Source organism: Homo sapiens, chromosome 9 (assembly GCF_000001405.40).
Source record: "Homo sapiens chromosome 9, GRCh38.p14 Primary Assembly".
Taxonomy (NCBI): Eukaryota; Metazoa; Chordata; class Mammalia; order Primates; family Hominidae; genus Homo; species Homo sapiens.
The window spans coordinates 132,090,030-132,104,652 of NC_000009.12; the positions used below are offsets into that span (position 1 = coordinate 132,090,030).

Sequence of the window (14,623 nt, forward strand, 5' to 3'; positions counted from 1 at the left end):
AGTCTCCTCTTTCATCAGTCTGCCCCACCACCCTTAACCTCATCCTCATTTCTGTCACTTCATGGTTGCAGGATGCATCATAGGCAGGAAGAAGTAGGAAGCAGAAGAGGTGGCACCGGCAGACATGCTCATGCCTCGCTGGCCAGAACAATGTCACATGGCCACCTCTATCTGCAGAAAAGGCCAGGAAGTCAAGTTTTTCTTTCTTTTCCAGCCCCCATTAGCACGGCTGGCAAGAAGAAATAGAATGTGAGCTACATGTTTTCTAATAGTCATGTTTAAAAAGGCAAAGAGCCTCATACCCACTAGGCCAGCTATGATCAAAAACAAAAACAGCTGGGCGCAGTGGCTCACGCCTGTAATCCCAGCACTTTGGGAGGCTGGGGCGGGTGGATCATCTGAGGTCAGGAGCTTGAGACTAGCCTGGCCAATATGGTGAAACCCCATCTCTACTAAAAAAAAAAAAAAAATTAGCCAGGCATGGTGGAAAATTAGCTATGTGTGGTGGCACATGCCTATAGTCCCAGCTACTCGGGAGGCTGAGGCAGGAAAATCGCTTGAACCCAGGAGGCAGAGGTTGCAGTGAGCCAAGATCGCGCTACTGCACTCCAGCCAGGGTGAGAGAGTGAGACGCCATCTCAAAAAACAAAAACAAACAGAAAGTAACCAGTGTTGGCAAGGATGTGGAGAAGTTGGAACTGTGTGCATTATTGGTGGGAATGTAAAATGGTACAGCCACTGTGGAAAACAGTATGGCAGTTCTTCAAAAACTTAAAAATAGAATTACCATATGATCTAGCAATTCCACTTCTGCATATATACCCAAAGAATTGAAAGCAGGGTCTAAAAGAGATATTTGTATGCCTATGTTCACAGCAGCGTCATTCACGGAAGCCAAAAGGTCTAAGCCACCCAAGTGCCCAGCAAATGAGTAAACAAAGTGTGGTCTAGCCACACAATGAAATATTACTCAATCTTGAGGATAAAGGAAATCTGACACATGCTACAACGTGGATGGACCTTGAAGACATTATGCTAAGTGACTAAGCCAGGCACTAAAGGACAAATACCGTATGATTCCACTTATGTGAGGTACCTAAAGAAGCCAAATTCATTGGCCAGGCAAGGTGGCTCACGCCTGTAATCCCAACAGTTTTGGAGGCCCAGGCAGGTGGATGATGAGGTCAGGAGTTCAAGACAAGCCTGGCCAAGATGGTGAAACCCCATCTCTACTAAAAAAAAAATACAAAAATCAGCCAGGCATGGTGGCAGGCACCTGTAGTCCCAGCTACTTGGGAGGCTGAGGCAGGAGAATCGCTTGAACCCAGGGGATGGAGGTTGCAGTGAGCTGAGATCGCGCCACTGCACTCCAGCCTGGGCAACAGAGTGAGAAAAAAGAAGTCAAATTCATAGAGACAGAAAGTACAGGATGGTGGCCACCAGGGGCTGGTCTTCAGTGAAATTCATACATCTGAAAAGAACACAGCATAGAGGTTGTGGAAGGAAGAGAAGGTTTGGAATTTAAACAAAACCAACAAAATATTGGCCAAATCTGTCTTTACAGAGGTTTAAGAGGTCCCTGGAGTAGTCAAATTCATAGAGATAGAAAGCAGAATGATGGTTGCCAGGGGCTAAGAGTAGAGAGGAATAGGGAGTTGTTGTTTTATAGGGCAGAGCTTTGGTTTGACAAGATGAAAAGAGTTCTGGAGATGAGTGGTGGTGATGGCTGGACAACGATGTAAATATGCTTAATGCCACTGAGCTGTACACACAAAATGGGTCAAGATGGCCAATTTTATGTTATATGTATTTTGCCACAATTTTTTAAGAAAGGTAAAGAGCCACAGTGATGTGGTTTGGCTGTGTCCCCACCCAAATCTCATCTTGAATTATGGCTTCCATAATTCCCAAGTGTCGTGGGAGGGACGAGGTGGGAGGTAATTGAATCACGGGGGTGGGGCTCTCCTGTGCTGTTCTTGTGATAGTGAATAAGTCTCATGAGATCTGATGGTTTTATAAATGGGAGCTCCCCTGCACAAGCTCTCTTGCCTGCTGCCACGTAAGATGTGACTTTGGTCTTCACCTTCCGCCATGATTGTGAGGCCTCCCCAGCCATGTGGAACTGTGAGTCTATTAAACCTCTTTCCTTTATAAATTACCCAGTCTTGGGTATATCTTTATTAGTAGCATGAGAACGGACTAATACATACAAGAATTAATTTTAGTAATATATTTTAACCCAATATATCCAAAAATTATTATTTTAATCTGCAATCAATATAAAAATTACTAATGAGATAGTTTACATTCTTTTTTTACACTAAGTCTTTGAATTCTTTGTGGATCTTACAGCACATCTCAAATTGGACATTAGCTACCCTTTAACTATTGTGCCACATGCAGCTAGTGTCTAGACTATTGGACAGCTCAGCCCTATAATAAAGATGGGCATGGGAGAACCAGGAGTGGGAAATAGAGATTAGGTCAGCCAGCCTGACCCGTCTTTGAACCTTGGTTGGGACACTCAAACTCCTTGAGCTGGGAGATGGTGGATGGGTGGGTGATAATAAACAACTTCTATGGTTGACGCAAAGATTTTATTGGAAAATATGTGGAAAGCCCCCAGTAAACTCTCCGGCACACAATAGCTGCTTTTGTAAATAGTGGCAATTGCTATTCATGTTTCCATGGAGAATAGAGATAATAATAAAAAGGACATTATATAAACTTTTTTTAAAGTTTGTAAGATAATAAGAGAAACTTGAATATGTTTTGTATGTGTGTGGGTTTTTTTGTTTTTGAGACAGGGTCTCAGGCTGCCACCCAGGCTGGAGTGCAGTGGCTTGATCACTGCTCACTGCAAACTCTGTCTCCCAGGCTCAAGTGATCCTCCCACCTCAGCCTCCCGAGTAGCTGGGATTACAGGCGTGTGCCACCACACCAGGATAATTTTTGTATGTTTTGTAGAGACAGAGTTTTGCCCTGTTACCCAGGCTGGTCTCAAACTTCTGAGCTCAAGCAATCTACCTGCCTCGGCCTCTCATGCCTGGGATTACCATGCCCAGACATGTGTGTGTTTTTAAAGAGTCCTCTTTCAGAAGTACATACTGAGATATTGATGGGTAAGATTATATGTTATATGGAGGAGCAGAGGTAGATGGGGGAAGGTGAAATCAGATTGGCTATCAGCTGAGAATTATTGAGACTGGGATTCATTCTACTGTTCACTCAACTTATGTTTGATAGTTTGATAGTTTCCATAATGAAAAGTTTAGAGATTTTTTATTTTTTATTTTTGTTTTTAGGTACGTTATGTGGGTACTCAACATGCCATGAGTTTTTCAGATCCTAAGTTGTTATTTTGGGAATTTCTTGGTTCTTTATTTTGTTGTTAGAAATGAGGTCTCCCTCTGTTGCCCACAAGTGCAGTGGCACGATCATAGCTCACTACAACCTCAACCTCCTGGGCTCAAGCGATCCTCCCAACTAGCTGGGAGACAGGTGTGTGCCACCGTGCCCAGCTCAGGAATTTGTTGGTTATGGTGACTGCCTGGTAGAAATAAACAGGCCGTGCGGACTCTTGGGCACCATAAGCAACCTGTCCACTGTCCACTGTCCAATGTGATGGTCACTGCTGGAAAGGATGAAGATAACATGATACTACTAGCAATCACTTTACTTCCTCTGCATAGTATCAACAGGAAAATGACTTCTGTTTTTATCTTTGCCCAAAACATTGATGTCTTGTGTTATTTGCACTGGGAGGAGATAGTTGAAGTCTGTCAAAATGGTAGTTCATTCTATTCAACTGCTTGATTTGTGTGTGTGTGTGTGTGTGTGTGTGTGTGTTTTCATAACAGATGTAAATATGTAAAAGCTACCTATGGTAATCACTTTTATCAATTGTTTAATTACTTAAAGGTGAAGACTAATTTTTTAGAAAAATAACAGCTACATTGAGCTATAATTTACATACTATAAAATTTACCCTTTTAAAGTGTGCATACTTTATATATCCACAAAGTTGAGCAGCCATCACCATTATCCAATTCCAGAACACTTTCTGTCCCTCTCAGTCTCTGGAAACCACTTTTGGTCTCTATGGATTTGCCCATTCTGCAAAATTCATGTAAATGGAATCATACGATATGTGGTCTTCTGTGTCTGGCTTCTTTTACTTAAAATAATGGGTTTTTAAAAGTTTCATCCACGTTGTAACATGTATCAGAATTTTATTCCTTTTTATGGACAAAAAAAGTGGATAGACCACATTTTGTTTTTCCATTCAACAGTTGATGGGCATTTGGGTCATTTCCAATTTTTTGACTATTATGAATAATGCTGCTGTGAACATTTGTGTATAAGTTATTGTGTGGACATATGTTTCCAATTCTCTTGGATATTTATCTAGGAGTGGAATTGTTGGGTCATATGGTAACTCTGCTTACATTTCTGAGAAACTGCCAAACTGTTTTTCACAGTGGCTGCACCATTTTTTATTTCCACCAGCAATATATGAGGGTTCTTATTTCTCCACATCCTCATAGACACTTTTTATTATCTGCCTTTTTGATTATAGCCATTCTTGTGTGTGTGTACTGGAATCTCATTGTGGTTTTGATTTGCGTTTCTCTAATGACTAACATATTAGTCAGGGTTCTCTAGAGGGACAGAATTAATAGGATAGATGTATATATGAAAGGGAGTTTATTAAGGAGAATTGACTCACACCATCACAAGGTGAAGTCCCACGATAGTCCATCTGCAAGCTGAGGAGCAAGAATGCCAGTAGTGGCTCAGTCTGAATCCCTAAACCTTAAAAGTAGGGAAGCCAAAAATGTGACCTTCATTCTGTGGCTGAAGACTGGAGAGCCCCTGGCAAACCACGGTGTAAGTCCAAGAGCCCAAAAGGTGAAGAACTTTGAGTCTGATATTGGAGGGCAGGAAGCACCCAGCACGGGAGAAAGATGAAGGCCAGAAGACTCAGCAAGTCTGCTCATTCCACCTTCTTCTGCCTGCTTTCCTTTTTAAAAATTTTTTATTTCCATAGGGTTTTGGGGAACAGGTGGTATTTGGTTATATGAGTAAGTTCTTTAGTGGTGATTTGTGAGATTTTTGTGCACCCATCACCCGAGCAGTATATGCTGAACCCAATTTGTAGTTTTTTATCCCTCATCCCCCTCCCATCCTTTTCCCCAAGTCCCCAAAGTCCATTGTATCATTCGTATGCATTTGGATCCTCATAGCTTAGCTCCCACTTTGGAGTGAGAACATACGATGTTTGGTTATCCATTCCTGAGTTACTTCACTTAGAATAATAGTCTCCAGTTCCATCCAGGTTGCTGTGAATGCCATTAAGTCATTCCTTTTTATGGCTGAGTAGTATTCCATCATATATATATATATATATATATATATATATATATATATATATATATATATGTATATATGTGTACATATATATACATACATATATGTGTACATATATATGTATATATGTATATATGTGTGTGTGTATATGTATGTATGTGTATATATATATATAACATTTTCTTTATCCACTCATTGATTGATGGGCATTTGGGCTGGTTCCATATCCTGGCAATTGCAAATTGTGCTGCTATAAACATGCATGTGCAAGTATCTTTTTTATATAATGACTTCTTTTCCTCTGGGTAGATACCCAGTAGTGGGATTGCTGGGATTGCTTGGTCAAATGGTAGTTCTACTTTCAGTTCTTTAAGGAATCTCCACACTGTTTTCCACAGTGGTTGTACTAGTTTACATTCCCATCAGCAGTGTAGAAGTGTTCCCTTTTCACTGCATCCATGCCAACATCTATTTATTTTTATTTTTTTATTATGGCCATTCTTGCAGGAGTAAGGTGGTATCACATTGTGGTTTTGATTTGCATTTCCCTGATCATTAGTGATGTTGAGCAGTTTTTCATATGTTTGTTGGCCATTTGCATATCTTCTTTTGAGAATTGTCTATTCATGTCCTGAGCCCACTTTTTGATGGGACTGTTTGTTTTTTTCCTGCTAATTTGTTTGAGCTCCTTGTAGATTCCGGATATTAGTCCTTTGTTGAAGGTATAGATTGTGAAGATTTTCTCCCACTCTGTGGGTTGTTTGTTTGCTCTGCTGACTGTGCAGGAGCTCTTTAGTTTAATTAAGTCCCACCTATTTATCTTTGTTCTTGTTGCATTTGCTTTTGAGTTCTTGGTCATGAATTCTTTGCCTAAGCCAATGTCTAGAAGGGTTTTTCCAATGTTATCTTCCAGAATTTTTATAGTTTCAGGTCTTAGATTTAAGTCCTTGATCCATCTTGAGTTGATTTTTGTATAGGGTGAGAGATGAGGATCCAGTTTCATTCTCCCCCATGTGGCTTGCCAATTATCCCAGCACCATTTGTTGGATAGGATGTCTTTCCTCACTTTATGTTTTTGTTTGCTTTGTTGAAGATGAGTTGGCTGTACATTTTTGGGTTTATTTCTGGGTTCTCTATTCTGTTCTGCCTGCTTTTTCTAGCCACACTGGCAGCCAACTGGATGGTGCCTACCCAGTCTGAGGGTGGGTCTGCCTCTCCCATTCCACTGACTCAAGTGTTAATCTCCTCTGGCAACACCCAGAAACAATACTTTGCATCCTTCAATTCAATCAAGTCGACACTTAATATTAACCACCACAACTAATGATGCCAAGTATCTTTTCTTTTGCTTATTGGCCATTTGTGTATCTTCTTTGGAGAAATGTCTTTTCACATCCTTTGTCTATTTTTAATTGGGTTATTCATCGTTTTCATTGTTGAGTTGTAAGAGGACTTTTAAAAAATGAGTTCTAAATGACACCTGACAGAGTGGACATAATTGAGCAGATAGTAAAAGTTCTTTGAGATATTAATCATACTGCACCTCAACCCCTCTGCTCACCAGCACTGCCAATTTACTAGGTATGAAAGGCTTTCATTATGAAAAAAAAAGATATTTCGACCTAAATATTTCCAAAACCTTTCCATTAAAGAGAACAGAAGGAGGAGGAGGATGTCATTCCTTTTTATACCTTGTGTTTCCTGAGCACCTGCTGGCATCTGGGTGAGTGATTGCTCTCTGGGAATTGTTCCTAATGAGATATGAATACAAGTTTCTAAAACTCAAGCTGCTGTGAGATCAAGGCCACCTCAATAGTGACCACTGGGTCTGAAGAGAACACATAGAAAGGAGAGTCACTTTATCTAAAGGGTTAGAGAGGGCTCAGGAAGGACATAACATGAAAGCTAACCCAGTCATTCTCAAGTCTGTCTGCAGGACATTCTGAGAGTCCACAAACTGATCTGCAAACATAAGAAATAGAGCAAACATTGATTAATGGAATACTCCATGCCAGGCACAATCTAGGCCTAGGGAACACAGCGGGATACATAGTGAGATAAAGTCCCTGCTTTATGAAACTGACATTTTAGTGATGGAAAGTGGTGAGATATGTTAAGAAGAGAATGAAGTAGGATAAAGGGACAGAGTGATGCAGAGGTGCCATTTTGATAGATAAGGAGATCTTTGAGTAGTCACCTGTGTGCAGTCAGGAATTGATGAGGCTGTGAGGATATCTGTGGGAAGGATATTCCAAAAAGGAAGAACAGCAGGTGCAAAGTCCTCGGGGAGGCTAGGCGTGGCGGCTCACGCCTGTAATCTCAGCATGTTGGGAAGCCAAGGCAGGAGGATTGCTTGAACCCAGGAGTTCAAGCCTGGACACCCATCTCTACAAAGATAAAAAATTAGCTGGGCATGGTGGTGTGCACCTGTAGTCCCAGCTACCAGGGAGGCTGAGGTGGGAGGATTGCTTGACCCCAGGAGGTCAAGGCTGCAGTGAGCTGTGATTGTACCACTGCACTCCAGCCTGGGCACCAGAGCGAGACCCTGTCCCCACCCTCTCCCCACCAAAAAAAAAAAAACCCCAAAAAACGAAAACCCAAAGTCCTTGGCAGGAGTAGTGAGGAGACCAGAGTGGCTGGAACACAAGAGGAAAGGGAGAAGGTGGATGGGAGCTGAGATCAGAGAGGCGAGGGAGGCGGGGTCTCATGGGACCTTTCACTTGACCTTGAACGTCTACTGCAGAGCAAAAGAACCCTTGGGCCACACATCAAGGATGTGCATGCACATTCCAAAAAGTCTTTATTGGAGTTAGCTCATGCTGGGTCTCCCAATCTTGTTGGCGTGTCTTCTTCTCATGGCAGAAGAATGTCTGAGGGATCCCTTGACCGGATGGTGTGTTCTGTAGGCCATTCCCTTTGAGAACATCTCTACTAATCAGAGTCTGGTTTTCAGCAAAGTCCACGCCTCCAAGGAACATACATAGAGGTTGTAGAAGGAAGAGAAGGCTTGGGATTCAAACAAAAACAAAAACAAAAAAATACACTGGCCAAATCTGGTTTTATGGAGGCTCAAGACATCCCCTTTGTCTCTCTGTCCTATCCACTATGGACAAGTTTGCCAAACAGTTATCATCCTTGTTACTGGAGAGATCCTGCCAAGTACTCATGTTCCTTCCTTAGAGGGGCTGGGTGTGCTTAGCTTGGAGCAAGAGAAAGATCATGGCGGTGACCTTCAACTCACCTTCATGTTAGCCCAAGAGAAGATTCCTTCTAGGTTATCTTGCGGCAATAACAAGAACCCATTGCAGGAAATCTGTAGGGAGGAAGATTTCAGCCTAATATTGCAGAGGACTTCCTACAGTTGGAAAGGCAGTGAGTTCCCCATGACTAAACGTATTCGAGTAGACATTAAAAGGACATTAATCTGGGACTCTAGGCAGGAGATCCCTGCACTGCTTGATGAGTTGGACCAGAACCCCCTCAGAGCTAAGATTCTGTAATCATATTGTGCTGTCTTTCTTCTGGGTAAAAATCAAGACCATTTTTGTGACTTCATGAATCTCATCTGTGAAGGAGAACCCTGTGGAACAAGTTGAAGGTCATGTATAGTACACCCTGAGTCTTCTTCTTGGAGTTGTGTGCTGTTAAGGGGGCTTTAATTAAGCTTTCCCCTCCAGGCACAACCAGCTTGTTTTGGTGGGTGCAATATGCCATCCCAGAATATGTCAAACTTCATTTGCAAAATATCAGACTGCTGTTTTTTTTCCAGAGCCAATCTGCAGAGTAATACGTTCAATAACTTTTGCTCTTTTTGCTCTCAAAGATAGGTCTCTTTTTGGAGTCGATAGCGCAATAAATGCGGATCTGGTGCAAATTCCAATGGAAAGAAAAGATATTGTTATTTAAAGGCCAAATAACGGCTTAAAATTAGAGTTGTGAAGGCATTGAAAAACACCAGACTTCCCAGATGGCTTGGAGATAATTCACTTTGCACTCAGTCCACTCACACGCTAAAAAAAAATACTTTGACTCTGTTTCTCCTCAGATTGAAAGTTGGTGCCTGCTTTAAACATATGTGCTTCTCTCTTTAAATTTAGCTCTGAGTCATGTTGTATTACATTAGGAATTCAGCAGGCAGGCACTTGGAAAATGTACATCAATGCGTTTATTTTTAAATTATATAAAAATAAAAATATATATGTTTAAATATATTAGGCTATATTTTTGCCCAATTTCAAAATGGTTGTTCTCCAGAACAGATTAGATAAAACAATAATAACGATGATGACACTATGGTTCTGGAACACTGCCCGTTCCCAAGGATCCCAAATCAACTTGACAAACCCTGTCGCTTCTAGCCCCCAGTCCAGCTATGCGCGGGACTTGTCACAGAAACCTCCGCCTCCGTGGGGGACCAGGCAGCTCCCCAAACAGCTGCAGGGTGGCCTAATTAAGATGCTCCTTCCTCCAGAATGTCAGGTCTCTGGGCAGAAGTCAGCAAAGGCTGGGGGCTGGGGACAGTCAGGGAGGCAGAGGCAGACAGTCTGGAGGGACATCTTTAGCTTAGTGGCTAAGCTCATGGGCTGAAGGCCCCACCAAACAACGCTGGGTGCAAATCCTGGCTCTACCCCTTCTAATCTATGCATCCTTAGAGAAGTGATGGGGCCTCATTTGTGTCTCAGTTCGTCACCTGTGAAATGAGTAATGGTTCCTACTTCCCAGGGTTGCTGTGAGGACTACCAGGGATAATCCCTTTGATTCATTTAGTCATTCACTCACCACATATTTATTAACATCCACACGACAAAGTGGTGAATAAAACAAACAAACCCATAATCCCAGGCCTCATAGAGCCTGTGGTCTAGTGGGTAGAGAGACATGAATGAATAAAAAACCCTGATGATTTAATCAGAATTGTGATGAGCACAATGAGGGAGAATTTGCAAAGTAAGGCCCACCCAGATCAGAAGGCTCCAGAAAGCTTCAGCAAAGAAGGAATGTAGACTGTGGTCCGGTGCCTGCCACACAGTAGGTGCCTGTTAGTTCCTGTATGCATTTCCTTTGGTTGCTGTCACAAATTGCTGCAAACTGAGTGACTTAAAATAACATATATAGATCGGGTGCAATGGCTCATGCCTGTAATACTGGCACTTTCGGAGGCCATGGCGGGCAGATTACCTGAGGTCAGGAGTTCAAGACCAGCCTGGCCAGCATGGCAAAACCCCGTCTCTACCAAAAACACAAAAATTAGCTGGGCATCTCACACCAGTTAGAATGGTGATCATTAAGTCAGGAAACAACAGATGCTGGAGAGGATGAGGAGAAATAGGAATGATTTTACACTGTTGGCGGGAGTGTAAACTAGTTCAACCATTGTGGAAGACAGTGTGGCGATTCCTCAAGGATCTAGAACTAGAAATACCATTTGACCCAGTGATCTCATTACTGGGTATATACCCAAAGGATTATAAATCATGCTACTATAAAAACACAGGCACACATATGTTTATTGCGGCACTGTTCACAATAGCAAAGACTTGGAATGAACCCAAATGTCCATCAATGCTAGACTGGATTAAGAAAATGTGGCACATATACACCATGGAATACTATGCAGCCATAAAAAAGGGTGAGTTCATGTCCTTTGCAGGGACATGGATGAAGCTGGAAACCATCATTCTGAGCAAACTATCACAAGGACAGAAAACCAAACACCACATGTTCTCACTCATAGGTGGGAAGTGAACAATAAGAACACTTGGACGCAGGGCTGGGAACATCACACACTGGGGCCTGTCATGGGGTGGGGGGCAGGGGGAGTGATAGCATTAGGAGAAATACCTAATGTAAATGACGAGTTAATGGGTGCAGCAAACCAACATGGCACATGTATACATATGTAACAAACCTGCACATTGTGCACATGTACCCTAGAACTTAAAGTATAATAATAGTAATAATAAATTAGCCAGGCATGGTGGCTCATGCCTGTAATCCCAGCCACTCAGGAGGCTGAGGCAGGAGAATCACTTGAACCCAGGAGGTTGCAGTGAGCTGAGGTCATGCCACTGCACTCCAGCCTGGGTGACAGAGCAAGACTCTGTCTCAAAAAATAATAATAATATTAATAATAACATTAATAGTATCTTGCAGTTCTGGAGGTCATAAGTCTGAAATGAGTCTAATTTGGCAAAGAGCAAGGTGTTGGCAGGGCTGGGTTCTTTTTTGGAGACTCAAAGCAAGAATCTGTTTCCTCGCCTTTACCAGCTTCTAGAGAATTCCTTGGCTTGTGGCCCCTTCCTCCACCTTCAAAGCACATCACTCCAACATCTGCTTTCATGGTCATATCTCCTTTTTCTGACTTTGACCCTCCTGATTTCCTCTTATAAGAATCCTTGCGGCCAGGAACAGTGGCCAACACCTGTAATCCCAGCACTTTGGAGGCTGAAGTAGTAGGATCACATGATGCCAGGAGTTCAAGAGAAGCCTGGGCAACATGACAAGACCCCGCCTCTGTAAAAAATTAAAAATTAGCCTGGTGTGGTGGCACTGGTGACCCCAACTACTCTGGAGTCTGAGGCTGCAGTGAGCTATGATTGCACTACTGCACTCCTGCTTGGTTGACAGAGCAAGACTTTGTCTCAAAAAAAAAAAATCCTTGCTGTTTGATTAAACCCAACTTAATCTCCTCATCTTAAGATCCTTAATGTAGTCACCTCTACCAAGTTCCTTTCACCTGTCAGGTAACATATTCACAGGTTCTGGGGATTAGGATGTGGAAATCTGTAGAGGGGCATTATTCTCTCTACAACAGTCCAGGAAGTTCAATATCCAAAATGAGGAATTCCAGGTCAAAAAAAAAAAAAGAGATAGAGAGAGAGAAAATAGAGGGGCAGAAGTTATCAAAGAAAAATAATACATGACAATTTCCCAAAACTTTAGGGCAAACATTTCCAGATTTAAAGAGCCTTCAGAGTGCCAGTGTAAAATCATGTCAAAAGCTTCCAAAGACAGAATGTCATACACAAAAGATCAAGGATCAGGCACTGGACTTTTTTTTTTTTTTTTTTGAGACGGAGTCTCGCTCTGTCGCCCAGGCTGGGGTACAGTGGTACAATCTCGGCTCACTGCAACCTCCGCCTCCCAAGTTCAAGCAATTCTCCTGTCTCAGCTTCCCAAGTAGCTAGGACTACAGGCATGCGCCACCGTGCCCGGCTAATTTTTATATTTTTAATAGAGACGGGGTTTTGCCTTGTTGGCCAGGCTGGTCTTGAACTCCTGACCTCAGGTGATCTGCCCACAGGCATTGGACTTTCTAACATCATCACTGGAAATTGGAAGAAGGCACAGGCCTTCATAATCTTGCGGAAAAATATTTCCAACCTAGAACTTATTGATAATCTTATTTTATTTTTAGAAAGAGGGCCTTGCTATGTTACCAAGGCTGGAATGCAGTGACTCTTCACAGGCACGACTGTAGTGCACTAGTCAGGCTTGAACTTCTGGCCTCAAGTTATCCTTCCACCATAGCCTCTCAAGTAGCTGGGACTAAAAGTATGCACCACCATGTCCAGCTGATAATTTTTTTTCTTTTAGAGATAGGGTCTCACTATGTTGCCCAGGCTGGTCTTGAACTCCTGGACTCAAGTTATCCTCCCACCTCAGCCTCTCAAAGTGCTGGGATTACAGGTGTGAGCCACTGCACTCAGCCTCCAGCTGATAATTTTATCAATCAAGTGTAAGTGTGGACTAAGTATGTTTCAGACATGCCTGGTCTCACTGAATTTTCCTTCCATGCATCTTTTCTCAAGAAGCTACTAGAGGACGTGCTCCATCAAAATGAGAGAGTAAACCAAGAAAGTGGAAAACAGAGAATCCAGGAAACAGGGGATGCAACAGAAGAGAGAGGTAAATGTTATTACAGAGGACCCAGACCACAGGTGTGCACAGGGCCCAGCACAGCAACCAGGCTGATTGCAGCCCAGGATAGAGGGCTTAAAGCAAGACACAGAACTAATAGGTTCTGAAGTTTTAATTATATTAACAAAAGCTTTAGAGTTGTGACAGAGATAAATTAGCAACTACATTGAAAATATAAAAACCCATCAAAATTACTAACTCTGAGAAAAATGAAATTGTACCAAAAAACGCAATCACAGTGCATTGGGTAGTCAGTGGCATATAATATTTTCCCAAGTCATAGGACAGTAAACACTGAATATTGGTTTAACTAGAACCTGTGATCTTGGGGTGGTGAGATAAGATAAACGTGTGTGTGCCTGTGCCTAAGAACTAAATCCTCATTTTCTATAGCAGGTAGTCGATTATATGATGCTTAAAGCTGAAACATCAAGATAAAGCTAAAAGAGTTGAAGGTGGCTGCCTCTGGGACAAGGGATCAGCACCAGTGAGTAGGGCTATTTTTAGAATAAACCTTATAGGGCTACTTGATTTTTTAAACTATGTACATGCATTTCTTTATATATCTATATATATATATATATATACATACACACACATATATATACACACATATACACACATATGTATATATATGTGTGTATATATAGTGTGTGTATATATAGTGTGTGTATATATATGTGTATATATATATGTATATATATATATTTTTTTTTTTTTTTTTTTTTTTTAAAGGGAGGAGAGAAGGGAAGAAAATCCTCTCTGAAAAAGGAGGCATTGGCGGGTTTTGGGAGGAGGCGGCCCCTCTGGCATCTTTGGGTTTTCTCTGACTTCAGCCTCATTAAATCACAGGAGGGAGATGACCTCAGCAAAGGACATCGAACCTGTGGGAGCACCTGTGAGGCAAGAAGTCCTCTGCCCTCTACCCTCACCCTCCCCAGCCATCACAGTGCGGTGGCAGACAGGCCCTGTGAGCGGCAGGCACCTGTCAGTGCCAGAGTCCTCCCAGCAGGCCTGGTGGCCCTGGTGAAGGGGTCAGCTTGGGAGAGACGAAGCTTCTTGGGATGGAGCTGGGTGGGAGAGGTGGAGAGGAGGACTTCATGGCTACATAGTACATTACAATCATGCCTGTGAATAGTCACTGCACTCCAGCCTTGAAGGGAGATGGGGCAGGGGGTGATGGAGAAACTTCCTTGCAACATGGACCTGAGTGGATCCCACCCTCCTGACACCCAATGGGAATGTTAATATGGCTCAGCTTGCTCCGGCAGCCAGAGACACCCTCTGTCCTCTGAGGTCCTCAACTCTCTGCTTCAGTCTCCAACTCAGAGAA

General features: G+C 42.5%; 1 long non-coding RNA gene across 1 annotated transcript; it reads left to right on the forward strand.

Annotated features, from left to right (window-relative positions):
- The first annotated feature begins 13,190 nt into the window (after window positions 1–13,190).
- LOC105376302 (uncharacterized) lies at window positions 13,191–14,553 on the forward strand. Its single transcript, XR_930403.1, has 3 exons — window positions 13,191–13,278; window positions 13,684–13,777; window positions 14,143–14,553. It is a non-coding gene; the product is annotated as an uncharacterized LOC105376302 (long non-coding RNA).
- The last annotated feature ends 70 nt before the right edge of the window (window positions 14,554–14,623 follow it).